Source organism: Homo sapiens, chromosome 10 (assembly GCF_000001405.40).
Source record: "Homo sapiens chromosome 10, GRCh38.p14 Primary Assembly".
In the NCBI taxonomy this organism is placed as follows: Eukaryota; Metazoa; Chordata; class Mammalia; order Primates; family Hominidae; genus Homo; species Homo sapiens.
This window is the reverse complement of record NC_000010.11, coordinates 131106661-131133854: the sequence shown is the minus strand read 5'-3', so window position 1 is coordinate 131133854 and position 27194 is coordinate 131106661. Positions and strand designations below refer to the sequence as shown.

The following is a 27194-nucleotide window of genomic DNA, read 5'->3' as shown; positions in this document are numbered from 1 at the left end:
ACACAGCCAGTGGGAAGCTCTCCTTCCAAGTCGCTGGTCACGGTTTGATTTTGGGAGTTGCCATGCACCGAGGTAGGGAATCCCTGTTTTCCATCAAGTTGGGGGTTGGCTCCTGCCCTTTAACCCCTCCTGTGTGGCTGCTGGTCTGCCCTGCCTTGCCTGTGAGTTTCAGATAAGGGGGTGAATGTGGAAGTGTGTGTTTAAGTTCCCCAGAACAGGGAGACGGAAGGAATGTTGTGGCTGCTGGGCCCCATGTTTGGTAGAGAAGGGTGGGGAGGACCCTGAAAGGCAAATCAATAAGGGACGCTTCCCAGGCTCTTCCTGAGCTGGGCTGTTATTGGTCCCATGATGCCTGGACGTTCCGCTGGACCCTGGGTCCTGCCACAGCCCACAGGTGCGTTCATCCTGCACCAGGCTCCTGCATCAGCCCTGCTCATGGGATACCCTAGGCCTGCAACAGGAACCCAAATGAAGTGGTCAGGAATCTCAGTGTCGTATGCGTTTTCTCTTTTAAAAAATGTACTTTTGCAATAAAAAGTATTTGCCACAATGAAGGGAAAACAAAATCTTGACTCAGAGCCAGTGTGCATTCTCACATTTTCAGTCCTTTTGACTTTTTAGCAAAGGACAGAAGGATGGTAAGGAAGAGAGGGGAAGAGGGAGCAAGAGCTGGGCTTGAGGGTACCTAGCAGGCCCAGCAGCCAGGGCGGTCAGGGCAGACTCTTCTCTCTGCTGGGTGCCGATGGAGCCATGAACAAAACACGTAGAACTAGACCTGAGTGGTTCGATAATAGGCAGACACCACAGAACTTTCAGAAACAATGCAAAGAAGAATAACAGTGTCTTCCCCAAGCCAGCGAGGTGATCAGGTAGGAGGTAAAGGGCTCTTCTCCCCCAGTGCTCCTGCCGCCTGGCCCCACAGCACGTGGAAGCCTGTGAGCCACTATGTGGGGAGGTCTAGGGCCGCACGTGGCAGGGCAGAGGCTCACTGGCTGTGGAGGGAGGACGCCTCCCACCCACAATCTCCTGGGCAGCTGTCTTCTTGCTACCCCAAATCTCCTCCTTAGAAAGTCACTTTTGGGGGCCAAAGGATGCTGTGTGGGCCACAGGGGATGGACAAGGAGCACCTCTGACGGGGGCCAAGGGCTCCAGGAAAGAGCCCAGTGCAGCCTCTCTGATTTCACCGTCACACGTGGACCTCAGCTAAGCTGGTCTCTGCTGATCTTTGGATATGTGTGCTAAATTGAAAACACAAGATGAGCTTCCTGAGGCACAGGAAACGTGGAATGTGGCCATGATTTGATGAATTTTGAACTTGTGTGGGAGGCGGGATCCGAAGCAGCTGGGCTGTCCGCCTCATCACCCGGCTGCACTCCCATCCCGTGGGACTGGCCTCAGTTCCCAACAGTTGGCATTTCAACAACATTGAAACGCTAATTTTAGTTTTAATCATCTGAATGACTTCCGTCACTGAAAACCAACTTTGAAACATGCACGGATGTTTTGCATGGAGCTGCCTCCGTTTTGGCAGCTGTTCATTTCCATGTTGGTTCCAGCCTTGAAGATTCCGTGGGAGAGGAAGACTCTCGGGGAGGCTGGGGCCCCCTCAGATCTGAGAGGAAATGCTTTGGCGTTTGTTCTGCAGTCAGCCCGAGGACTGAGCACGCCCATCCCGTCCTGCGCATTCATTCATGAGCCGGTTTACAAAGCCATGCCCTCTGTTTGGAAGCTTCACCATAGGGCAGGTTTTCCCAAAGCTCTTCCGAAGCACCAACCTGCACGCCTCCTGCTCAGAGCGAATCGCCCCAGGCCAGGTGAACCATCAGCATCAACATGGCATTTTGATCCCTCTTTGGGAAGGTTATTGTCAATAAGTCCATGTACTCCTCAAGCTCCTAGCTGCTTTTATGTATTTCTATGTCGCAGAATCTGGCCCAGATAGTTAGAGAACATGCCTCCAGGGGGCCTGCTGAAATCTGTTCATTTGGACCTGCGCTTTTTGTGTGGATAGCGTAATTTTGCCTCATCAAAGAGCATTTAAAATTCTCCTGCAATGTGTGACTCATCAGCAGCCTGATTATGTTGTTTAAGAAACAAGCAAATAAGCTGTGATGATGATTGTTTTGGACACCGGCATCTACTCCCCACATTTCTTGTGAACCCTGGCATAATCGATACACATTTTGGGCACTCATGCACAGATGGAATTAAATCGATTGTGACAGTGATTCAGGTCCACATGAAACTTTTCCTGAAATTCTCTCGGAGGAGAAATATGTCACAATGACAAGCATTCAAATTACTGAAATATTCTAATCTACGTGGTGAGTGTCACTTCAAATAGCTTGTTATTTACTATTTAGAGGGATGCATTGGCGAAGACGATGCATCTTCCCTGGGCCTGGAAAATAGATTCATGACCGCTCGGCCCCTTTCTGCTCAGGGCCTGGAGGTGCTGCCAGTTTCTGATGAATGGGTCTTTTCATAGTTCAGACCTGCTTTGATCTTTGGTCTTCTGACTTTATAACTCTTTCAAATGGGCTCTGGGGAGCATTCCCGTGAACAGTTCCCTCCCTCCTATCCCTCTGACCTCACGTGTGCAGGGTGGTGGTCTCTGCTGAGTGGTATCACTGCAGTTGCCTCCCGCCTTCTCCCAAGAATGAACGCCTGAGCATCAGAAACCTGGACACCGCGGCTCGAATCACACCTGTGATTTCTGGAATTGCTGCAGTGTTTTGAAGTGGAAATATATTTTCTTAAGTCATCAGATTGTTTTGTGCGGCTGTGGCCCAGGGCTTGTGAAATGCACAGTGTAGCTTGCGTGGGTGCTCACGGGAATGCCCCACCAATTTGCTTCCTCTCCAGAAGGTGGGCATGTTTTCAGTACTCTTTTCATATAATTCAGTTACCCCATATTTATGGTGTCATTAGGGTTTGCCGGGGGGTTGATGCCCGTCCCTGCAGGGATGCAGAGATCACTGGGGGAGTCAGTGACTCCGCCACTGAACTGACCTAACATGTTGTATTAGTCCATTAGTCAGTGACTCCCCCACCACTGATCAGTGGGGGAGTCAGTTTCCCCCAAAACTCAGTACTTTCTCCACAAGGCTGGTTGTCAGATATTTGGCTCACTGTATCACTACTTGGAGGTATAAATTTATCACAATCTCAGGTAGTTTCCTCTCCCGTAAGAGAACGTATTTGTTCTGTATTATGAGAAATGACAGGTTAACTCTTCAGCGTGATCATCACTTCTGTGGTAAGAAATGCTCAACTTGAACGAGGAGGAAGAGAGGGTCAGAGCAGATCACAGGATGACAGGCAGAGGGACACAGGGGCGTGGGCCCTGAGGGGACAGCCAGGATGGAAGAAGCCAAAGAGGAAATGGTCACATGAGGGGGACACAGGTGACGTGATTTTCCTCTAGCTGTCCACCTAACCCTCATCTGGAATTGTAATCCCTATGTGATATGGTTTGGCTGTGTCCCCACCCAAGTCTCATCTTGAATTATAGCTCCCATAATTGCCACGTGTCATGAGAGGGACCCAGTGGGAGGTAATTGAATCACCAGGGCAGTCTTTCCCTGCCTGTTCTCATGATAGTGACTAAGTGTCACAAGATCTGATGGTTTTATAAAGGAGAGTTCCCACGCACACACTCTCCTTGCCTGCCGCCTTGTAACATGCGTCTTTCACCTCCACTGTGATTGTGAGGCCTCCCAGAACCGTGGAACTGTGAATCCGTTCAACCTTTTTTTTTTTTTTTTATAAATCACCCAGTCTCGGATATGTCTTTATCAGCAGCCTGAAAGTGGCATGTGTCAGGGGAGGGGACTTGTGGGAGGCGATTGGATCATGGGGGCAGTTTCCTGCATGGTGGTCTCATGATAGTGCATGAGTTCTCACAAGATTTGGTGGTTTAAAAGTTCGTGGAAGTCTCCCCCATCCACTCTGTCTCCTGCCACCATGGAAAACAGGCCTTGCTTCCTCTTCAACTTCCGCCAAGATTGAAAGTTTCCTGAGGCCTCCCGATCCATGCGCAACTGTGAGTCAATTACACCTCCTTTCTTGATGAATTACCCAATCTCAGGTAGTTCTTTACAGCAGTGTGAGAATGAACTAATACAACAGGTTAGGTCAGTTCAAAAGGTCCCAGGAGACGAGTGATTTCCATCAAAGACAAACAGTTCCATTGTGATAGGAGAGATAGGTGGCGTAAGATGGTCCAGTGTGTGCTTAGCTGCCTGACACTGGGTTGAAAAGGCTCTACAAATATATGAAAAAACAAACATACCCAATTAAGGAGTAATTGTTATTTTACCTACTTATAACTTTTTATTATGGAAAAGCTCAACATAAAAGCTGGAATAACACAGTTCGCCTCCACGCATTCATTTCCCAGCATCAGCTCAACGCCAGCGTTTTTCTGCTTTGGTCAGTGCCCCTCTAGATTAGTCTGAAACAAACCCCCGACATCATATAAATCTTACTTGTAAATATTCTAGAATATAATAGTACAATATAAGGAATTTTAAAATATAAGCATGGTAACATAGTCACATCTTAAAAAACAAATAATTCCTTAACATTATCAAATGGGCTTCCAGCCATGGTTTAAATTTCCTTGACTGTTTTCTTTTTTTTTTCCTCTTAGAGGTTTGCTTTCATATCAGGACTAAGTCAGTTTCAGGTATTGCCCTCTGCTTCTCTCTCCTAAGCCTCTTTTAACCTGCTGATGTTTTCCCTTTCACGCTTCATTTTTATTTTCTTCATTTGTTTTTGAAGAAGCAAGAGATTTTTTACAAATGTTGCATTTCCCATCATTTGGACATAGATCATCGCATTCCTGGAGCATGGTTTGGACATAGATCATGCCTGGGGCATGGTTTAGGGGCTTGTTCTTCTGTCCCCTGTATTTTTGGTAAATCTGCCGTCAGAGCCGAGCTTTATCAGGGTCAGGTTTGATTAGTGCTCTGGCAGGACTAATGGTGGCTTTGAGTTCCTTCCATGAGGAAGCAGGTGATGTCGGCTCGTCTGTCTTTTCGTGATGCAAGCAGATGATCTATCTTGATCTACGACTTCCTTAGAGATTGCTAAGTGCTAATCTCTTAATTCTGCCATTTTATTCACATTTACTAGCTTGCCTACTTTTATAAAGAGAAACTCACCCTCATAAACTATTGGCTCCCTCAAGGTATCGTTTAAACTGAAAACACACAATAAACACTTGATTCTTTCCTTTAAATATCAATTTCCAAAATACTGCATCGGTTCCCCAGTATCCTCGAAAGGTGACCAACTTACTGTGAATTGGATGTAAACACAGCTGATGTTTTAGTCGATTTTAGTTACTATCTTTATCCTTTAGAAGACAATGATAGAACTAAATCTTGGTGATTCTTGGTTCGTTTTCCCAGATATGAGGTGTATCTTACAAAAATGTAGGTGGAGGCCTTTCTTCTGTAAGGGCATTTTCTTGAATTGCTTTCATGTCTGTTCTGTTTCGTGGCTTGGAGTCACCTGTGAACTGTTTGGTTCTCCCTCGGCTTCCTCCTGGGTCGCCTCCTTTGCACGCTGTTGACGCTTCGTCATTATGCTCTTTCTGGATTTCCTCTTCCCTTCCCACTTTCTATTCCTTCTATGACATCATTTATGACATTTATTCACTCTTGGGTTCATTCTAGTTTATTCTTCATTTCCACTTTTTCCCTTTCATTTCTAATTATTTCCCAGATTTTCTCAGACTGTTTTTCAAGTCTTTACTTTGACCAATATTCTTTTTTACTCATTTTAAAATAAGACATATGCTGATATTTTATAACATCTATTTTTTTCTTTTACTATTTAGCTTCTTTTTGAATAGTCAGCTGAATTGTCATTCAATGTCTGGGTATGCTTCCCTGTGGTTCCTCTGCCACCTGGGGGTGTTTCTCTGAGCATCTGTCCCTCTTGGTAGTGGTCTTGGTAGTGGTATGTGGGCTGGGACCGTGGTGGTTCTCTGTCATCCCTGTTTAGATGAGACGGTGACAAGAGCAGTGGCCCCGGGCAGCGTGCCAGGTCTGTGGCTCTGGGACTCCATCCTAGAGTCTGCTGTTGTGACACGGGCTGTGTCTTTGGGGGACCTGTCTCCAGGTCTGTGGTTCCGGGACTCCCTCCTAGAGTCTGTGATTGTGACGGGGGGCTGTGTTTTAGGGACCTGTCCCTTCGCTCTGCATTGCACTCTATCTGAACCTGCCCCTCCATTCCCTGGCATCTCTGTCTGTTGAGGCAGCTGCTATACTGAGCTCACCAGTCTGTGTTTAGGGCCCAGTTTTATCTGGCATGAGATACTCCCAGGCCCTGCCCTTTCGAACTTCCTGGGCCACCTGGGCTTCTCCGAGGTTTGGACCCCAGAAGGCTTCTGCTCACGTCTGCCTCTGCTTCCCATCAGCCTCTTAGCCGCAGAGGCCCGGGGGCTGCCTCCTGGCCTGGGAATGCTGCTCATGACAGGGTCACGGGCTGGCTGGTGCTTGGGGCCTGGGACGTGCCTCAGTCTCTGTCTCTGTCAGGGTTTGGCCTGGAGTTGCCCACGCACACTGGTGCTCCTGTGGGGTTCTTCACTCATCAGTGTGTGAAGATGTTGTCTATGGGCCTTTTGTTCTGTTTCTCTAACAATTCGGTGTGCTTAGACTCTGGGGAGATAAAAACACTTCCCCTCTGCCTTTGTGGTATTTAGTTTCCTGCCGTTTGTTTTTGTTTTAAATCTTAGAATTCCTTAGAATCCTGTGTCCTGAGATGCCTGTGACTGGGCTGTGTCTCCTTCAATATTACCTAAAATCAACACCTGGAGGCAGCAAGTAGAGACAAGAAAATAGGTGTTTGTTGTTGTGGGTTTGCTTTTTCAGTGATTAATCAGCCTCGTCAGCTATGCCCCAAATTCTCAAGTCAAGGTGCCCTGACCGTCTCCCTCAGCTCTTGTCTGGCCCCGTCCAGAGTTTTGAGAGCTCTGAGACCAAGATCTCAGGTTGAGAGCTTTGGTAATTTTGCAAATGTTACCAGAAAACTACCTGCCAAAGGACAGGACGTGGCCTGGTGTCTGTGCTGCCCTGGGTGGAGGTAGGTGCTGCCTCTCTGGAGCCACCAGCGTGAGTTCCCACATGAGGAGACTGCACAAGTTACAGGTGCAGAAACATGTCCTGGGGAGGTGCTCAAGGGCCTCCTAATTAATTGCTGGGGAAGCCTGGCAGCCGGCACTGAAGCTGGATGAACACGGTCCCCAGCAGAGTCTGTCGCAAAGCAGGAGCTCAGGCCAGAGCTGCCGCCTAGCAGCACATAGCTGCCCTGCCTCCCGCAGCTGAGAGCTGGCTCAGAGCCGGAGCTTGCTGCTCACTGGGATTCTGCCCCCAGCCAGAACGAGGCCACCAGCAAACCCTTTTCAGCAGGTGTTTCACCTTCTGAGTGGCTCATAAACCTCAGCTGGGAGAGACTTCAGCTCTTCCCAGGCCTTGGTGAGCCTGCCTCTCAGCATGGTGGACGGTCCAGGAGGCCACAGCTCCCATGGCCTGATCACTCCTCATTCTGCCACCTCTCCCCAGCATGGCCCATGTGCCACAGCTACACGGACAGCAAGTGCACACGGGACAGATGAGTGTGGTCACACTGAAGACTGGGAGTGAGCTGTCCAGCCACGGTAGGGCCTGTCTGGCCTTAGGCAGAGCCAGGAATTGGTTTGTGATTCCCGGAAGAGGTGAAGCGAGCAGGGCAGAAGCAGGGGTGCTAGGCAGTCAGGAGCTGACCAAGCCGGAAAGGCCAACAGTGAGTCTGTGGCTGGGGCACAGGTCCCTGGAGATTCCAGGCAGCCCAGACCCCAGCTGGGAACTCATGATCGCTCCTCCAGGAGGATTTTGCATCTCTGCCCATCCTAGAGCCCCATCTGTGTGCACTGGCCAGTGTCATCTCTGCATCTCTGTGCACTGGGCAGTGTCATCTCTGTGTAAGAGCAGAGGAACAGCTGCTCCTGCTGAGTTCACCTAGCTGCCTGCAGGGTTCCTACTCAGGGCCAGCACCAAGCCCCACAGCCAGGGTTTTGCTGGTGGCCATGATCCATCCTGGGGAGGCATCCATCTCGATGCCATCATTGGCTGTGAATCCTGACCATCCACGTGAGCAGAGCAGAGCTGGCGGAACCGACACCCCTGTGCTCCCATCTCACCCAGGGGCCTGCAGCCCACCCTGATGGATGTGCCAATCTTCCTTATAGCTGCCAGAGGCACGTTTCTGCACTGCACAGTGTCAAGGCTAAAAAACTAGAGAATACAGATCTTTCAAAGTTTGTCTCATCTGAAGACCATTTGTCACAACCACACATTAGAATGTCTGAGGCCCCATAAGGCAAAAGATTCACAGAAACTTTGATTCCTGCAGAATTTCACATTGTGTCTAACACCAGATTTACAGTCTGGCAGTATTTTGATGATAAATTCCCAGCCCTCTTTGCTGGAAGAAAGAACAGTTTCTTCCCATCTGTAAAACAAAAAATAATAATAATGAGATGTCATCCAGATGAACAGAGGGCTGGAACCCAGCCTGGAGAGAACTGATGTGGATGCTCAGAAGCTGCCTGAGATGATGAAGGTGAAGAATCATCACCACCACCATCATCATCATGTTCATCACCATCATCATGGCCATTGTCACTATATCATCATCATCATCACCACCACCACCATCTTCCTCACCATCATCACTGTGTCATCACCATCACCATCATTGTCATCAAAACTATTTCTAGACCAGCCATTGTGTTAAATACCTTAAATGCATTAAGTCAGTTTTTCCACCTGGACAGTGGGGTTGTGCTGGTGATGAAATGAGGAGAAGGTTTGACACAGTGAGCCATCAGTGGCTATAAGGGATTCTTCTTATTTCATTTAATTCTTACAAGCAAATCCCAAGTGGTTGCAACTATTATTATTTCCACTTTCTAGAGGAAGAAATGGAGGGTTGATGAAATGAAGAGACTTGCTCGAGAACACAGAGCACACAGTGGGAAAGCCCAGGTTCCGAGCTCAGAGACCACGCATTTTATTAGCGCCCAGCGTTCCCTCCTCAGGTCACCCCTGCGATGCAGATCCTGTTGTTGTTGTTGTTGTCATTTGGGGGATAAAGAAGGTGGAGCTTGTAGAGGCCAGTGCAGTGCACATCCACGGACAGGCAGCGATGATGAGCCAAGCCAGCCGGGGTCCAGCCTTGCTTGGGTCTCAAAGTCTTGCTCTCCGCTCCTGCATGGCGTAGAGCTGAAAATATCAAAACCGTAGCACACTTGCAAAAAGTCACCTTGTTTTATAAATTTTTCTGACAATTTTGTTCAATGAGAGTAGAACTCAGTGGCCACTCATTCAGAAGACTCACAGAAATGTGGCAATAATTCCATGCTGGACAAATTCCAGAAGCATCGCTCCGAAGGGCAAGGTCTGCGGTGCCAAGACAAAGGCTGGGGTGGGGCCAGCCTTGGGGACGGGGACTCCCTAATGGTATGAGAGGAAGGCTAGAGACCCTGGAACCTTGTTCTTTTGGAAAGTAGAATCTGGAGCTCGGCTGCATAGGATGCTAGTGGGTCTTAGGTGGGCCTCCCGCAGCTCAGGAGCCTGGCAGCGGGTCCTGTAATTACAGCCTTGGAGACCTGTCAGAGGCCAGAGATCTCTGGGATGGTCCAACCCTGACCAAAGGGCCAGGCAGTGTGTGCAGATGTGCATCATCTTGTAGCATCAGCAAGGCAAGGAAAGGAGCACCTTGGTCTACGCCACAGTGATTGACAGAAAAGTGTCCCCCACTCTACAGGAGCCTCTGCTGCGGGGACAGCCTGATGTCATGGCTTTACCTGGTCAGGCATCTTTTCCTCCAGGTGGCCTCCACCCACTCATGCCCTACCTGGAACAACACATGATGTTCAAAAATCCACCAAGGAAATCGTCACGGGGCAGTCTTGGATGTCCAGGACAACATTTCTAAAATGCATTTGAGAAGACAGGGGCAGGGTCTCGGCTCCGTGGGGTCCTAATGGGAATAACCGTGCACTCCAGAGGCAGCTCTGGGCAGGAACCTGCTCTCACCCTGGCTCCCCGGGTGCTACCAGAGTTGTCTCTGCACTCCAAGGCTCAGAGCGGCCCCTGGCCGGGCAAGCAGAGAAGCGAGCGCTAAGTCAGGACTCAGGGCAGTCGGAGGCCAGGATGCGTCACTCTGCTCAGAGGCTCTGGGCTCCCATGTCCCTGGGAGTGAAAGGTCACAGCCCTGCCATGGATGAGGAGACATCAGGATCTGCATCCTCGCAGACCTCTGAGCACTGCCCCCCACACCCTCCCCTCACTGCCTCCTTGCCACTGTCTCTAGAACATTCTTAGATGCTCCTACCTTAGGGCCTTTGTATAGCTGAGCCCTGAGTCTGGAATGTTCTCCCAGATACCCCCAGGGCTCCTCACCTCTTCTCAGGATCTGCTTGTGGGTGTCCTGCCTGCCTTGTGATGGTCTCAGACCCTCCCCTCAGCTGCATTCATTTGTTTGCTTTTTGTGACTTCCTGAGCATCCAGCATCTTTGATTACACCACCCAATTTACTTACTTGGTGGTATTGGTTATTGTTACTCTCTGTCCCTGCCTCTAGAATGTGAGCCTGGTGAGGGCAGGGGCCTGGGATCCTGGGGTTTGGAGCAGGGCCCGCTGCAGACATCAGCAGCCGCGTGCTAACCAAGGGGCCCCATGCAGCCCTCAGCAGGACCCTGCAGGTGAGCAGTGCTGTTCAGTCTCATGACAGCTGTGTGGGGCCGGTGGGTTCTATAATAGATGAACGACCTAGGAGGCTCAGAGAAACGAGGCAGGTTGCCACAGTTGGGAGGACCCCTTGGAAATGCCTGCTGAATGCAATTGAAGCAAATTTGATTGCACCCAAGTTCTGACAGCAATTCTCTGACACCAACTGGGTGTCCTACAATTAAGTCTAATTCTGACACCAACCACCCAGAGATACTGCAGACCCCACAGGGGAAGGGCTCAGCCCCAAGAAGGCCACCCCTACCTCAGACACCAGCTGCAAGTGGGTCCCCAGTCTACCCTCACATCTGTCTGACTTGGTTACAAATTATGGAGCTCTCACCACCCTCCTTCAAGTTTGATAATTTGCTAGAATGACTCAGAGAACTCACAGAAAGTGATATGCTTACGATTACAGTTTTATGATCGAGGTGACAACGCAGGAGCAGCCAAATGGAAGAGACTCATGGGGTGAGACTGGGAAAGGTCCCAAGGGCAGGAGCCTCTGTCCGTCTGCATTTGTCTTGCTGCCAGTATGCTAATGTGTTCACCAACCAGCGCAATCCTGAGCCTCACTGTTCAAGGGTTTTATTGGGGTTTTATTACAGAGAAATGATTGATTAATTTATTGATCATTGGCAGGAAGATTGAATTCAATCTCCAACCCCTCTCCTCATCCTGGATGTCAGGTGGTGGGTGGGCCTGGACATTCCAACTCTCTAATCTTCAGGGCTGGTGTTTCCTGACACGCCAGCCCCTTCCTTGAAACTAAGAACCCAGTGAGTGGCCTCATTAGTGCAGCTGAGGTGTGGTATGGTGGAGAGGTTTCCTTATGAATACCAAAGGTCATTTCTAGTGCTTAGGACGTTCCAAGAATCTTTTGGAGCTCTCTGCCAAGAACTGGGAGTAAAGACCAGATTAATTATTTATTATATCATAGGCCTAACATTTTAGGTTCCGAATCCACTCTTCCCAGCAAACCATTCTGCCAAAGCGCCCTTGGGGAGGCTGGCAGTGTGTGGCACGGTGCGGTCACTTGTTAGAAGTGAGGCTGCAAGAGACATCATTTATGATAAAACAAAACTGGAGTGAGGGCTGGCACAGCCTCTGGAACCCTCCACAGACTGTCTGTCAGCGGGGACCCCTGATGGTGGTGTGGTACCTGCAGGCTGAGACAAGACTATACGAGAGGCAGGCCAGGGCTGAGGGGGCATCTCTCTCACTGTGCCCACACCTGGGCCTCACAGCTCATCACCAGCATGGGTGTGTGGCACTGTCCGTCTGCAGGGCTGCAGCTGGGCGACCTGGCACCTGCAGACTGAGACAAGACTATACGGGAGGCAGGCCAGGGCCGAGGGGGCATCTCTGTCTCTGTGCCCACGCCCAGGCCTCACAGCCCATTATGAGCACGGGTGTGTGGAGCCGTCCGTCTGCAGGGCTGCAGCTGGGAGAGCTGCTAGAGGCATCTGTGTGGCGCTTCCTGTGGAACATTTTTATGAACAAGCTGGATGAAGACACAGGAGGCCTGTTCATCAAATTTATAGGAACTGCAAAGTTGGGAGGCAGAGCTAATAAGTTGATGGCAGAGTCAAGATGTTTAAATATTTCATCAGGATGAAATTAACAGGATCACATTTGCATCATAGAATTGCGGTATTGCGAGGCATTTTCAGATCATCTGGTCGGAAGCATGTATCTTACCATGAGTAAGGTCCAGAGAGTTTCCATATTTTGGCCAAGGTTGTACAGCAAGTCATCCTCACCTGTAAGGCTCAGAAACACCTTGACCTCATCACATCTGCAGACAGGCCTCTCCAGAATCAGGTCCTCAGTCACATGTCAGCACTTTCCCCACATCACATGGCAGCACCCTGGCAGAGTGACGCCATCTCAACCTGTGTCAGCGTCTATGTCTCTTCCCTGCTCATGTTCTGTCTTGGAGCCATGGTCCACTAGAATGTCTGCTGTTTCTGCAGAGTCTCTCAAATGATTGTGTTAGCGGGAACACCAACCAGAAGCCCCTCTGGCACTGACAGTCTCTGCACTGTGGATTTCAGCCCTGACACACCTGTGGCAGCTGAGGCTTCGCATGTGTGTAACTGTTTTATACATGTCCCACTGGACTGTAAGCTCCTTGGGCAGTGAGGAGCTCCTTGTTCCAGCTACAGCCCCGCTGTGCCCAGTATGGGTGGACACACCGCACCTGCAAGCTGGAGAGGGAGGGAAGGAGTGAAGGAGCAGGAGGGGTCGCTCCGAGAGGTCGATGTGGACCATCTCACTGAATCCACGTGACAGCTCTAGGTGAGTGCTAGGACCACCTCAGGGGAGCATGCTGGGGCTGAAGGCATCAGTGCATTTGCCCACATAGAGGTTTGGATCTTGATCCATCCAGCTGGGCTGTCTGAGCCTCCATCCATCTGGGTAGTGCTGTGATGAGGCACCTGGGTGTCAGCCTATGAGGGAATGGGTGGGTGCCTCAGCCTGGCTGGGGAAACTGAATATCACACATCCCATTCCTCTAGCCTGGAGCCAACAACTACTTGGTGTTTGTCATTTCTCTGCCAGGGCAATGGTTCTGACCTCAGGATGGTTCTGCAGAAAGGATCTGGGTGGAGAGAAGTGCCTCTGAGGGTTTAGAGGTGAGCTCTGTGCCCACAGCAGGTGTGCACAGCCCAGGGCCTGAGTTCCCCAGCCTCAGATGGATCATTAAAGTGTCTTGTTCACAAAGGGAAAATCATGGCGGGGGTTGCAGTGCCCAGAACTCAGCTCCACTGGGTCTTGGATTTGTGCATTTTACCGGATAATGTGCTGCCCTCTGCACATGGGCAAAATCAGAAAACCTCAGCTTTACAGACTTACCAGCATGGGACAGATGCACGCATGCGCACACACACAAGCTCACACACACACACACACGAATCATTAACAGATCGATTGGCAAGCTCAGAGGCTGGGGGAAGGGACAGAACCGGGAGAAGAGAGCACCCCTGCTTAGGGGTAGGATGGTCACCACACAGAAGGGAAGAAGGCAGGGAGGGGCGGACCCTGGGCGTGAGGGACCCCCGCCCAGGGCTATGGTGCCCAGATTTCAGGAGCACCTAGCCTGGTTAAAGGTTGGCCAAGACCAGGCCCCTTTCAACCTATACATTGGACCTGGGAAACTTCCCAAATCCATGGGTTCCCTTAACGAGGCTTCTGTGATGCAGTAAGGCTACCTCCCTGGCTCGCAGCCTGCAGGGCTGGTGCACACCAATTAGTGTGTCCTCGGGGACGCTGCCTCTACCAGCAGGAAAACCGTGGGTTGAGCTATCTTTACTAAAAGTATTAGAATTTACTTTTTGTTAAAGGTACAGAACTCATTCAGCCATAAGAATATCAAAAATATATTTAGCTAGTTTGCATTTGCTTTTGACCGATTCTAACTGAACGGATAGCCATTTGGAAGGCGTGCGGCAGCCCTGCACAGAGTATTGTGCTGAATAAGCTCCAACACACCATCATCGCGCAGTCAGAATGCGCCTGTTCTTATTTCAAGTTGCAACAATACAGGCCTTGTTTCACATTTCTATTTTTAACTAATGAAAATTTATTACAGGGAAATCCTAATTATACCCTTTGGAATATGATACAATTGGAAATCCACTGGTAATATTCTTTTCTCAAAATTCCATGTAATCACATAAGAAGCAGAGAATGTAAATTCTCCTGGAATAGTGGGTCTATAAATACAGTTCTCTAATGGGCTGAGCAATCTTTTTGTTTCTTTGCACATTTTGTATTCGTTGGGATTAATCCATATTACAGCCCCTGTGAATGAAAACCTCTTGTTAGACATAAGGCATTGCATATTCTCAGTACATCCTAAACATGGTACTAATGAATTTCCCAGGACCTTGGACAGACCTGCCAAGTGAGGAAACACTTCTCACTTGGCAGGTGTTGGGAGGCCTGGACGGCCGGGTCTGGCCACTAGATGACCTTTTCCTGTTTGCCACCTTACCTCCTCTCCAAATGAGGAAGTAGTGTAATCTTTACCTAGCATCCAAACCTCCTGGGGGAGACCCACTTGGGCCACATGAGCCTGCGTGGTGGGGGCTGTCCTGTGCATTGCAGGACATTTCACAGCATCCCGGCTCTCCACTCCCAGGTGCTGGTAACATCTCCCCAGTTGTGGCAGCCACAAATGTTTCCAGACCTTACCAAATGTCCCCTGGGGCAAAATCATCCCCAGTGGAGAACATGGTGCTATCGTCAAAACCAGAACTGGACAGTAGTTAAAGCCGTAAAAACAGATTATATTCAAGACTGTTGCAAAGGAGGAAAAGAGACCAGGCTCAATTCCAAATTTGGCATGGAAAAGCAGGATTTGATAGCCACGGTCAGGGTTGGGGGTCAGTGGATGGAAAATTACCAAGAGCAGACCTCAGGGATCGGGGGGTTTTGGCTGAACCAACCTCAGCAGATTCTTGCTGAGTCAGATCTGGGGCATGGCAGAGGATGAGAAATCTGGTAAGGTGTCCCGGTGAGCAGATTAAGGGAAGGGTAGGGAAGACTATGGCTAATCAGTTTAGCAGGACCGTTGCTCACATTGGGCAATGCAAAGGTGAGCATGAAGTTCAGAATCCTAGGCCTACTGAGAAGTTCAGTGGAGCTTGGGGAGACTGTGGCCCAGGAGAGACTCTTACCTCTAGACCAAATCAGAAAGCCCAGACTACGGTTCGAGAAACTCACAATCCAGATCCCAGGGTGAGCTGGTTTTGAAAGGAGCGGGTAAGGCCCATGCCTTTAGATGTACATGCCATTCCTACATCTCCGAGCACTTAGGGAGCTCCCAGAATGTAGGAGGCCCTAAGCCACTGCTTGTGAGCGGACTGCTCTTCATGATTGCTGGCTGAGGTTGACCTAAGTGCAGCTGAAAATAAGGGAGCTCTCAAATGGGTGGTCTGATGCCGTGGGCAGGTGTGGGAGCAGGGCCAGGCCAGGGAGCAGGCCCACGAGGGCTCAGCATGGTCAGAGTGAGGGTGCGCCAACCCAGCGCGGGTTGAGTCTGCCCGTCCTGGAGAACAGGCTGCATCCTGAGGGGCGGGTGGCAGCCGACGGACCTGCCCCCAGGCAGGGCCAGGGTTGGGAGGAGGGGAAGCCAGACACAAGAAGAACGGCGTCTGCATTTGGCCAGACACATTCTTCCAGCAGCAAACATTTCGTTTTTTCAAAAGGATATTTCTAGATGCTTCTTAGAATCCAGTGTAGAACCATAAAGATCTATCCACGTGCAGTTAAAATAATGCAAGGGGGAGAGTTGGTACTTGAAAAAGGCAGGCCTCTAGCATTTCTTCCGTAGGAGTAGGGTCCAGCCTCCCTGCCCGTGTGGTTCGGAAGGGAGTGCTGGTGAGCTGCCCAGCCCGGCATGGTCAGCTCGTGGGGTCCCTCCCTTCCTCCCCACCCTTGGTTCCACCTTGTGCAGCTCCTGCTGCTGCCCACAGTGTCCGGGGCCTTGGCAGGGGCCGCCCCTCTGCTGTGGGAGGGAACTTCTCCAGGGCCCCTGGGTGATCCCATTCTCCACTGTCCTCTGTGCCTGAGGAGGGGTCCCAGCCTCCTTCTTTGTCACTGAAGTTTCCCTTTGGGGTTAGATCTCAGGACATAGATGGTTCTGCACATAACTATCTTCCAGGCATTTGTCCAGAATGAAGGGGCGATGAGTGAGTGAAATGATTGTTCGGATGAAAAGCCTGCTCCTTACCCCTCCATGACCCCATCTCTGCAGCAGCACCTGAGGCCTGGCTTCCCTGCCGTGGGCCGTGGGCAGTATGAGGACCTGGAGTGAGGGCCTGCCCAGGAGACATGCCGGTTGGCAGCCAGTGTATGTTTCCACCTGCACTTGAGCTGCAGCTTCTCACAGCCGGGCCCGGGGCTGGGGCTTCAATTCCAGCCTCCCACCCTGAACACAGCCAAGCCCCGTGCCTGCCAAGAGCAAATGTGCCATCTTTGCGAGGGAGACCGCCTCAGGCTTTATAAAGAGTTGTCAAGGAGACTGTGCTTCTGAAAGAGTTACCTTGAGGAGGGTTTGTAAAGGTTGCAATAAAAACCAGCTGGGTCCCCACGAGTGTGTCTAACTCTGCGTCTTGTGTTCCTGAAGGACCGAAGGCTGCGGGAGTCCCAAGCCAGAGGAGGCAAAGAGAGAGGACAAAGGCACAAGGACGCCGCCCCCGCAGATCCTCCTGCCTCTGGAGGAGCGTGTGACCCACTTCCGAGACATGCTGCTGGAGAGAGGGGTAAGGCACAGCGGCTGAGGGGCTGCACTCCTACGGCAGACCCGGGGGAACAGCAGCTGAGTGGCCGTCCCTGCCTGAGGGTCGCCTCCTCACTGAGTTCATGATCAGGCTGAGTGACTGTCCTGGCCTGAGAGATGATGTGTCCTCCTTACTGAGTTCCTGTTCAGGCTGAGTCGCCATCCCAGGGCCTGAGGGATGCCTCCCCCTTACTAAGTTCCTGATTGTGCTGAGTGAGAGGCAGGTGCTAAGTGAGTGGAGGCCGAGGGGCAGCCAAAGTGGAGAGGAGGTCCTGCTTCTCCTCTGAAAGGAGAAAGGTGCCTTTGTGGTTTCTCCTGTGGGCGTGAGGCCTGAGAGGCCGGCAGGTGGGGTCCACCGGGAGGCCGGGTCCTGGGTGGCCTGAGGGAGCACCCACTGCACAGATGGGGTTCCTGTGGGAGCTGGGCCAGTCGCGGTGCCCGACCTCACTGTTTAGCTTCCCCATGGGGTTATCTATCCATCCTACCTAGTGGTACTCCCTCCCTTCAGATGAACGTGACTGTTTTTTAAATAAAATTAAGATATCTTCAGTGTAGCTGATTTCCAAATCTCACTTTGACTTGGGGGTCGGGGGGATTTTGTATTCAGATCTCCTTTCAATGACTATCATTTCCTGCTTTGGCTTTGGGTATAAAATGAGCCAGAGGCAGTATTTCAGCCCAGTTGGATTTCCTTACAAAATAAGGCTGACTGCAGGCGGCAGTGGTGGGCCCCACGTGTGAGGATGTTTATAATGAACACGCAAATGGCCTTTCAGACTTCAGAGCAGGTTTCCTCTGCAGCCAGCACCCACCCCTCAGGCTGCTTCCTCTCCCTCCCACAGCTGGTAACTCCCAGGGTCCTGGAGAGGGGGCAGGGGTGGAGCTGCCATGGGGACCCAGCTCCCTGCAGAACAGAGAGGTCTGAGCAGAACCCTCACAGGGTTAGTTAGGGCTGAGGTGCTGTCCTGGGTCTGGGTTAAGCCTTGGGGGAACAGAGAACATTGAGCAGGTCCTACCCCTTAGGAATTTTATGGAGGAAGGAGCTGGTCCCACCCACCCCTAGGGACACCTCCCCTCCAAAGCCCCTTGAATTTGAATGTGTGCACCTGTTTATGTATTTCATCATTTACTCAAAGGCGAAACACAGCCCTGGGCCTCAGGGAACCAGAAGGAAAAGTGGGGGTGTGAGCTGGTGACTGCAATACCCCGTGTCAGGCCTGAATTAACACACGTGCTGAGAGGCACAGAGCGCGACGTGGACGCGCGCGTGTGGATCCGGCCCTGGCGCGATGTGGACGCCTGGGTGTTGGTTTGTTTTTCAAAAAATGTTATTTTAAAAGCTATTTTTACTAGGCTCAAATTTTGTTTGAAAACAAGACTTTAGTCCCTCCCTCTTCTGCCCCTGGGGCTTCCTGCCCTCCTCCTGCTCTTGGCATGAGGGTCTTTGTTGTAGTTTCTCCCAACTTGGTCTCTGCAGAGTGGTGAAAAGCTCTAGCCCTGCCCCGAGGGGCTCCAGGGGAGGTGCTGCCGGGTGATCACCGTGTGCCTTCACGGACTCTTCTTTATCCTGGTGGATGGCCTGATGTCCAAGTGTCCAGCCAGTGACTAGGCGGCCCTCTCACAGGAAACTTGCCTATATCGGCACATGCCCTGGCGGCAGTGTCTTACCAAAATAGCCACCTTCTAGGAGAGCCCTGCCTGGGAGCAGGGTCAGGTTCAGGGGTGTCATTGGGCGAGAGGCAGGAGAGGCCGTTTTGTGACCCACAGGTGCACGTGCAGGCAGTTTCCCGGTCCTTACTGCTGTGTCCCTCGGACTGCACGGCCCTTGTGGAAATGGCCGTAATTCTGAGTTTCTGAATAGGCCTGGCCAGGCTGGCCTGGTTGGATTATCGGGCAGGAGACATGACTCGTGTTTGCTGAAACATGATGGCATCGTGAACATTTGGGAAAGAGGAATAAACATTCCTTTTATCTTACTAACGTCCAAGTTTTTCATCTCTTTGTTTTGGAAATGAGCCAGGCCCAATTTACCAACACAGTTTTAAACTAACCTACCTGCTTGAGAGGCCGGCCTTCCCTTCCCGGGCAGGGATGCTATCAGACTCAGTTTACATGGCCTCTTGAATTTCTCTAAATGGCCTTGGTTGAGAGATTTTACTAATGAGATTTTCAGGGCCTTTTTACCCCGTTTAGGGTGGGTGGTTCGTTTCAACTTTTTCTTCCCAGGTTATTATACAGGAATCAGCAAAATCATCTGAACGTGAAGCGGTAACCACCAGGTTGTGTGTTTACCCCGAGAGAAAGGGACTAGGGTGAAGCCTAGTCCCGTGTCTTATGAGGATTTTCAGGAGAGGCCCACATACACAGACCTCATGAGTAGAAAAGATCAATCCAAATTTACTGCTAATATTATAAAGCAATGCCACCATTTATGACTTTTCAGCTTTGTAAAATATGCTGGCAGATTTGCTCAGGCTGAGGAGAATTTGATAGCTAAACCCATAAGGTTTCTAGCTGCTTAACAATGAGGTATAGAAAGGTCACTTTTTCATGGACTGAGTGATTAATAAGATTTGTTATTGCATTTGTTCAATACTTCCGTTCAGAAATTCATGTACTTGTGGAGTGATGAAGGACGGACCCTGCGGTTTTTAGTAGTTTAAAAAGGGCAGAGTTTGGGCCCTGCCACGGGGATTGTGCCCTGGGGCAGCGGGATGAAGGTTTTGTGGTTTTGTGGCATGTAAATGATGGTTCAGCAGAAGGTTTGTTTTTCGTTTTGTTTTATTGTGTTTTTCCTTGCTAGTACAAATCCCAAAGAAGCTTTCTTTTAAAACTTTAGTCCATCAGGAGCAAGTTTAATTGAACAGCAGGTTATTAATTTAATCCTGCTGCTTAGGTAAACACATTAGAGACATTTTATTGAGAACATTTTCCTTCTGTAAAGTATCTCTCACAAGCAGGTGATGCTCACCCAGGGGCCAGGAGAGAAAGTCCTTTTGAGAATACTCTATTTTGACTTAGGGACTCAGGGGCTGTCCTGGTCCTTTTCAGGGGTCCCTTTGCAGGTGATCCTGGGCCAGCTTCCCAGCAATGCCCAGCCTCGGGGACCCTGGCTGGCACTGTGGTGGGCTACACAGGAGAGCCCTGGTACCACGTCTGCAATGGAGTGAGGGATTCACAGAGCAGGGTTCCTGCAGGCTTCGCTGTGACGATTTCTCCTTGTGCTAAGATGGGTGTTGACAGCGAGGCTGTGGGGTGAGTGGGTACAAACCAGACAGAGGCCTCTACAGTCCCAGGCAGAAGGAAGGGCAGCCTTGCCCTGTCCGTCTCCCCGGATGAGTAACATCTGGTGCCCTTCCCTCCCCTCAGACACAGGCAACTCTGCCTCCCAGGAGCTTCACCAGCCTTCAGCCAGGGCACGCGTGCACAGAAAGGGCTAGGCTGGCCACCAGGGAAGGGGAGGTGCCTGTGCGGACAGCATCCTTGAAGGTGCCTTTGGGGAGTTGGCACTGCCCGCTCTAATTTCTGGAATGGGATTATAATTACGCTTAATGTGAAAGTAACCCTCAAAAGTAAGTGAAATCAGCTGGCTATATTGTGGGATAACCGTGTAAAATTGCATTTATTCACCAAAAATGAAAACAAAAAGCTGGTAAAATACTCTGAGCACTGAAGATGGGGGTAGGCATTGATGTGCCGCGAGGTAGGGTAACGCAGGGATGCAGAAGGAGGCCTTGCCTGCAGGCCCAGCCTCCCATCCACGCTCACCCACAGTTACCCGGGTCCACCCGGGGCCACCTGGACTCACGGGAACTCTGCCTGTGCTGGCCACTCCCACCTCTAAACGCTAGGGATTGAACACCCCAAGGGCGACCCTCAACCGAGGAGGGACGGGGGTCAGTAGGTGAAAACCCTGCTTCCCAGTCCTTGGTAAGGTTACCGCTCGGCAAATTTGGGCACCTTCCTCACCCCACGGCCCACCCTCCATTACTAGCTCGTCTCCTTCCGTGTGTCCGTTCCCAGGACTGCCTGGAATCACCTTCCAAACAAATGCCTGCAGCCGGGCCATTGCCATACTGTTTCTTTAGGGATCTGAGCGTAAGGCAATGGCCTCATCTTCAAGGATGAGGTGGAAGCCCGGTCATTCCACCCTGGGCTGCCGCGTTTTTGACGGTCGGGGACTCTGGAGCAGCCACAGCCACAGGCTCCAGGAGTGTTCCCCATCCCTGCGAGCAGGCAAAGTCCAGAGGCCAGGAGAAGAGGGCCGCAGAGTGGGGCAGGTTGAAAGGGAAGAATAGCCAGGCAGTTTCTCAAAAATGAAGGCTGTCCACATGCAGCTGGCATCATCATTAGGGCTTGTGGGAGGCACAGTGGGGGCCTGGGGGACAGGGGGAGAAAGTCCTGGGAAGGAGCCCGCTGGGGGTAGGTTGGGGCATCTGGGCCCAGGAGGGGCCGGGTGGGCTGCAGATCCAGACAGGCATCTCCAGGACAGTGTGGGAGTCAGAGCTGGAGAAATAGAGCGGGCACATCTGGACAGAGCTCGGGGACAGGGGCGTGGCCCAAGTCTTCAGCCCCCGGCCCTGGAAGCAGAGACCCTGGGCTCAGGCCCCAGGGAGATTTTTGAACCCTCTTCATGTGGCCACTGGGAGTGCCGTGTGGCCGGGCCCATTCCCCCACTCTCAGGGGTCTTGAACTTCTACAGCCCCAGCGGAGGCCTTTGGTCAATTTTCCTGAGACCAGGGGAGGCAGAAAGAAACAGGAGAGAGGAAGATGGCAGGAAGGGAGGGAGGGTCCTGACACTGGTCAAGCAGCCTGCAGCCTGCGCTGAGAAGAGAGGCTGGGGGGCAGGGCCCATGACTAGGGACCAAGGGACCTGGAGATGCCTTTCGGCTGCCGGTGTCTTATTTGGCAGCTGCAAGGGCAGGCCGCCCTCAACACCTTGGAGCAGTCTGGCTTGTCTATCTGTCTTCTTGTGTTTTCAACACAACATGAAAAAATATAGTGTTACCTAGGAGCTTTATTCATTATTTACATGAGTGAATTCCACGCAGGCCCCAAGATAACTAATCGCAGCCTGTCCTCTGCCCACGGGGCGTGGACGAGGGGAAGGTCAGGCTGTGCGAGGAAATCGTGACCGTATTTCAAAGGTCCAGCTGCAGGGTCATTGAGAGAGGGTAATTGTGACAGATTGCTTCCTTCCTTAGGACGTTTGCACTCATAAAAGCCAGAAGGAAAAATCACCTCTAATTCGATTAACACTTCATGCTCCCGGTCTATTATGGCCATTTTAAGGTACAAGGAAGTAAAAGTAAATAAATACATTTTGTTTAACAGTCAAATTTGGTCAAAACATTAGCTTCCAGGACTTTCGCAAAAGTAACCAGGTTTGTGTTTGAGATGGAAGTTCGCCATGTTTGGGGGCCCTGTATGACCCAGCTTTCCTTGAGGGGCAGAGACTGCAGCTGCTGTCCCTGGGACACCCTGAGGACCACAGCAGGGAGCCATGAGGGTGGGTGGGGGCGGACGGTGCAGACAGACAGACACACGTTTCTGCAGATGCACGTGAGTGTGCCCGGCTGAGCCCAGCCCCAGTGTCAGGGTCGGAGCGGGCATGGCTCCAGCTTTCCTTGGAGAGGCCGTGGACTGCGCCCCTGATCTGAGGCCCTCTCAAGGCTGGGGCTTTATCCTCCAGTTCAGGACTCGGCAGGTGCCATCCTTTTGCTAGCTTTCGCCCTTTTCTCTGGTCATCAGGATCGCTGGCCTTTTCCATGATCCAGGGATTGAAAATTACTTGAAAGAGCCTTTTTTTGGTTTTAGAGATGGAAGGCAGCGTTCTGCTTCTGTCGGAGGTTCCCTGCCAATCCAGTCGTGTCCTGTCCGTGATAACCTCCGGGAGCCATCACACGCATGGGGCACCTCCAGGACTTTGGCGTCCCACATGTGGCTGAGCCATCCTCGAGCTCTCAGCCACTTTACTTGAATTGAACCCCCTTTTCTCAGGGCTGACGCGTCCACTGGAACAATGCACGATGAGTTTCTCAGTCTCCAGAGAGGCTTTTGGTGAAGCCGGGACTGAAGTTAGATCTAGTTTTCCCTGGCGTTGTTTTATAAATGGTGACCTTTTTCTTCATGCCCAAGGTCTTGGCTGCCTTCCCGGGGCTGAGGTGCCCCATTTCAGGCAGGAGCTCACCCTGGCCCATCCACAGCAGGAGGCGTGGACAGTGCTGGGCTCGGGCCGTGCTTTGGGGTCTCTTCCCTGCTGAGAGTCTGCTCAAGCTGCTGTGGGTGCTCAGGGTAAACCTGGGGCTCCTGGGAGCCACTCACAGCTCAGCTGGCCAGAGAAGCTGCCCCCTTAATGCTGGGAGGGAGCCGGGGTGAGACCACCAGGGCCACAAGCACTCAGCTGAATTGTGGACTCACCTGAGGCCTCAAGGAGGAGAAGTTTTAGAGGGTGTGAGTTGAGGGAGGTGACACGGCAGGGAGGAGGGTGGTTAGGAGACAGTTGTGTCTGTCTCAGAACCAGATGACCATGACCAAATGCTTTGCCCGCGTGGTCTGCATCTTGCCACTTGATCTGGAAAACACTTTTGGGTTCTCCAGACCACGTCCTTGTCACTGAGAGGATGTTGAAAACCGCTGTGAAAGGGACAGTCCAGTTCCCTTGGCTGTGAAGAAGGTGCAGTTTCCCTTCCTGAACCTCAGACTCCCGGTGCCTGTCCACTCTCCAGCGAGATGCCTGCGGGCTGGGACGGTGCCACACGCGACCTGCAGTCAAGGACACCTGCTGCCAGCCGGCCACTATCTGCAGAGTGATGCTTGGGCGATGTCCATTTTGATGAGGCATCTGCCGAGTTTGGAAACTGCCGCCCTGGCCTGCATCCACACCGCCTCCTCTGCAGCTCCTTCTGGCGCCTGCGTTTCTAACAACCAGCTCTGGCTTCTTCCACTGTGGAAATGGGAGGGAATCTATTGCAACCCAGACACTAATGAGGGAACAGAGGAGCTCCAGCCGGCGTGCCCAGGGAGAGAGGAGAGTCCCGCTGCAGGAGGCTGAGAGTGGAAGAAAGGGCACAACTCCAGCCCAGCCCAGGTGACCTCCAGTTCCCACTCTCGTGATTCAGACAGGGCGGAGGGACAGTCCTGAAACAGCGATCAGATGAGAATGTGCAGTGAGGGACCCGCAACACGGTCCTCGGACAGAGTCAAACACTCTCACTCCAGCCGGGGGGACAGAACAAGACCCTGTTGTTCTCCCACTGAGGCGGCTCCAGCGTTCACAGACACAGCCACAGACACAGACACAGACACAGACACAGCCACAGTCACAGACACAGCCACAGTCACAGACATGGTCACGGTCACAGACCCAGCCACGGTCACAGACACGGCCACGTCATCCACAGGGGGACAGACAACAGGCGTGCTGAGACGGGCACCAGGATCACTGTCACTGTTCGTCAGGGCGTGATGTGACGATGTACAGCGGGGTGAGGAAGGGGGTGGATCACAAACTTCTGCAGGAAAGGGTCTGAAGTTTACAGAAGAATTCAGGTCTTTAAGGATCAAGTCACAAATAAAATGCCAAAGAATCAAAGAAGTGTTAGGCAAGAGGAGAGAGAGAGATCTCTGCTGAGAGAGGAACAGCGTGTCCTGGTCTCGGGGACGTGCTGGGCAGATGGGGTTCTAAGCACCACCCTCCACCCCCCCCACCCCACAACACTGTGCTCATCCTGGGTGGTCCTCTCCTTGAGCGTGGACGGGGCCCATGTCACACCCGTGGCGATGTTGCACTGTGTTGTCTAAGACTCTGCCTTAGCCAGGGGGAGATTCTCTCACTGGCTTGAAGAAGCTGCCCCACTGTGGGGGCCCTGGGGCAAGGACCTGCAGGCAGCCGCTCGGAGCCAAGATTGGCTCTTAGCTGGCTGAAGACATGGAAAACTTCAGCCCTGCAACCACAAGACCTGAATTCTCGCAACATCCAGTGAGCTTGGAAGAGGACCCCAAGCACCAGACGCGAGCAAAGCCCCTGCCGGCACCTCATCTCAGCCCAGTGGGATCTGGGCTGAGGAGCCCAATGCCCCCATGCTGGACTCAGGACCCACACAGCCCAGGGAGTGATCCGAGGTGGTGCTTGTGACCCGCTGAGTTTGAAGTCGTTGCTTATGCAGCGATAGAAACTAAGATGTGAAGGAGATTCACTGGGCACTGGTCAGCCGCCTGTGTGAGGCTGCTGAGACAGAACACCCACGCACACAGCAAATCATCTGAAGTGGGTTTATTCCCCACAGACAGGAAGCAAGGGTGGTAGAAGATGAGCAGCAAATCATCTGAAGTGCGTTTATTCCCCACAGACAGGAAGCAAGGGTGGTAGAAGATGAGGGTGCCTTGTGAACCAGTCCCCCAGGACCAGGAAAGCTGCAAGGAGGGGACGGAGTCTCATCTACCCTTCGCTGTAACCGAGGAATCCCAGAAAGCAGCCCACAGTGGTTTTCTACCCTGGGGTCCTGTGAAACGCTGGGCTAAAGCTTGAAGGATGTCTTATTTCTGGGGTGGGGCCCAAACAAAGCCTGGCTGTTCTCAGTCTGTTGCATTCCCAGTGCATTCCAGTCATTCTGGACAGGTACCAGCCAGAAACAGGGAGAGCCGGTTTTGTCCACGGCCACTTAGAGAACAGTCCCACGACATAGACGGACTTAAAAGAGATAGGCAGCTTGCTGTCTACTCAGTTGACGGGCTTTCTTCCCCTGGTTGTTCTACAATGTTGGACTTCCTTGGTGGTGGTAGTGGTACTCTGTGTGTGTGTGTGTGTGTGTGTGTGTGTGTGTAGGCACACATGTGCATGTGTGTATCAATGTGTGCATCTTTGTGCGTATGTGTGCATTTGTGCAACTATGTACATGTGCATGTGTACATGTGTGCCTGCGTATGTATATCTTAGCGTGTCCTGGGTGTGTTCATGTGTTTGCATGTGTGTGCACCTGCATGTGTATATGCACCTCTGTGGATGTTTGTATGTGTGGTGTGTGTGCTTATGTGTGTGTGTATAGTCACACACATGTGTGCAATCGTGGCCCCATGGAATGTACTCTCTGGGCATCGTAAGTGTTTCACGCAGGCTCGGGAACAACAGGCTTCCCTCAGGAGCAGTTCATAGGACTCCTCGTCCCCATACCTGTCAGGACCCTTTGGGAGAAGTCCTGCGCCCACCTGGAGGGCAGGGAAAGACCCTGTTTCACACATGGCTGTGCGGCCTTCACTTCAGCCCCCACCTCCATCCCGGGTCCCAGCCACTGTGCTCTCACCCTTCCCTGAACTGTCCCTGACATGACACAGTTGGTTTTATCATTATGAGTTGTAATCATTGTAGAGATGGCTTATCTGACCTTCTATAGAGATTATAAATCCCTTCGGGGGCAAAAACTACACATCATTCATTGAAAAATTATTTTATTATACTTCTAGAACTCCAACATTTTCCAGAAACTGGTGTCGTTATGCCACATAGGGTCTAATCCTCTCTCCCTGCAGAGCTGGGACCATCGGGCTATGCACAGGTCCCCGTGAGGTGGGTGTGTGCCATCTTATTGGGCTGAGTGGTGGCTGCCCATAGCTTCTCTAACGGCCCCAGATGCTCCCGGGGGCAGGTGCACTAGTCAAAGCTAAAGGGATCCATTCTGCTTGGAGACCCTCCCAGAGTTGCCACCTCGCCCTGAGTCCCAGCAATGGCACTCAGTCGAAGCTAAAGGGATCCATTCTGTCTGGAGACCCTCCCAGAGTTGCCACCTTGCCCTGAGACCCAGCTATGCTTCACCGGGTTCTCACTCTGTGGAGGAGAATCCTAGCTGGACCCTGGGTCATCCCACCCAATAAAAGAGCTCGTGGGTATTACAGAAAAGGCTTAAATTTGACAGTTAAAGATAGAAATTGCCAGTGAAGAAAATTCATCTCTTATAATATACAAATAAAGCATGTGTTTATTGAAATAGTACCTCTATGAAGAATATTTTAAGAATGTGAATGGGGTTTTGTTTTTGTAAACTTTCAATTACCTTCCCCTCCCTGACCCTGCCCAGGTATTCATCTGCCCGGATCCCAGGGTGGCCTTCCTCAAACGTACGCCC

The 27194-nt window shown here is 51.6% G+C and overlaps 1 protein-coding gene across 2 annotated transcripts in view, besides 5 other annotated features; it reads left to right on the top strand.

The window, feature by feature from the left end:
• TCERG1L (transcription elongation regulator 1 like) overlaps positions 1-27194 on the top strand; it is a 219331-nt gene that overhangs the window by 177867 nt on the left and 14270 nt on the right. For both annotated transcript variants that reach the window (NM_174937.4, XM_047424966.1), the window contains one exon: positions 16921-17056. In NM_174937.4, coding sequence (NP_777597.2) covers positions 16921-17056 — 136 coding nt within the window. The remainder of the gene's footprint in view (positions 1-16920; positions 17057-27194) is intronic.
• Positions 5841-6495: an enhancer, noted in NCBI's record as "H3K4me1 hESC enhancer chr10:132925623-132926277 (GRCh37/hg19 assembly coordinates)". NCBI's record gives its function as "activates a minimal SCP1, AML or CMV promoter by ChIP-STARR-seq in naive H9 embryonic stem cells {active_cell/tissue: H9 hESC(naive)}" and the evidence as "EXISTENCE:reporter gene assay evidence [ECO:0000049][PMID:30033119]".
• Positions 6496-7151: an enhancer, noted in NCBI's record as "H3K27ac-H3K4me1 hESC enhancer chr10:132924967-132925622 (GRCh37/hg19 assembly coordinates)". NCBI's record gives its function as "activates a minimal SCP1, AML or CMV promoter by ChIP-STARR-seq in naive H9 embryonic stem cells {active_cell/tissue: H9 hESC(naive)}" and the evidence as "EXISTENCE:reporter gene assay evidence [ECO:0000049][PMID:30033119]".
• Positions 17882-18591: an enhancer, noted in NCBI's record as "H3K27ac-H3K4me1 hESC enhancer chr10:132913527-132914236 (GRCh37/hg19 assembly coordinates)". NCBI's record gives its function as "activates a minimal SCP1, AML or CMV promoter by ChIP-STARR-seq in primed H9 embryonic stem cells {active_cell/tissue: H9 hESC(primed)}" and the evidence as "EXISTENCE:reporter gene assay evidence [ECO:0000049][PMID:30033119]".
• Positions 18592-19303: an enhancer, noted in NCBI's record as "H3K27ac-H3K4me1 hESC enhancer chr10:132912815-132913526 (GRCh37/hg19 assembly coordinates)". NCBI's record gives its function as "activates a minimal SCP1, AML or CMV promoter by ChIP-STARR-seq in primed H9 embryonic stem cells {active_cell/tissue: H9 hESC(primed)}" and the evidence as "EXISTENCE:reporter gene assay evidence [ECO:0000049][PMID:30033119]".
• Positions 21385-21885: an enhancer, noted in NCBI's record as "H3K4me1 hESC enhancer chr10:132910233-132910733 (GRCh37/hg19 assembly coordinates)". NCBI's record gives its function as "activates a minimal SCP1, AML or CMV promoter by ChIP-STARR-seq in primed H9 embryonic stem cells {active_cell/tissue: H9 hESC(primed)}" and the evidence as "EXISTENCE:reporter gene assay evidence [ECO:0000049][PMID:30033119]".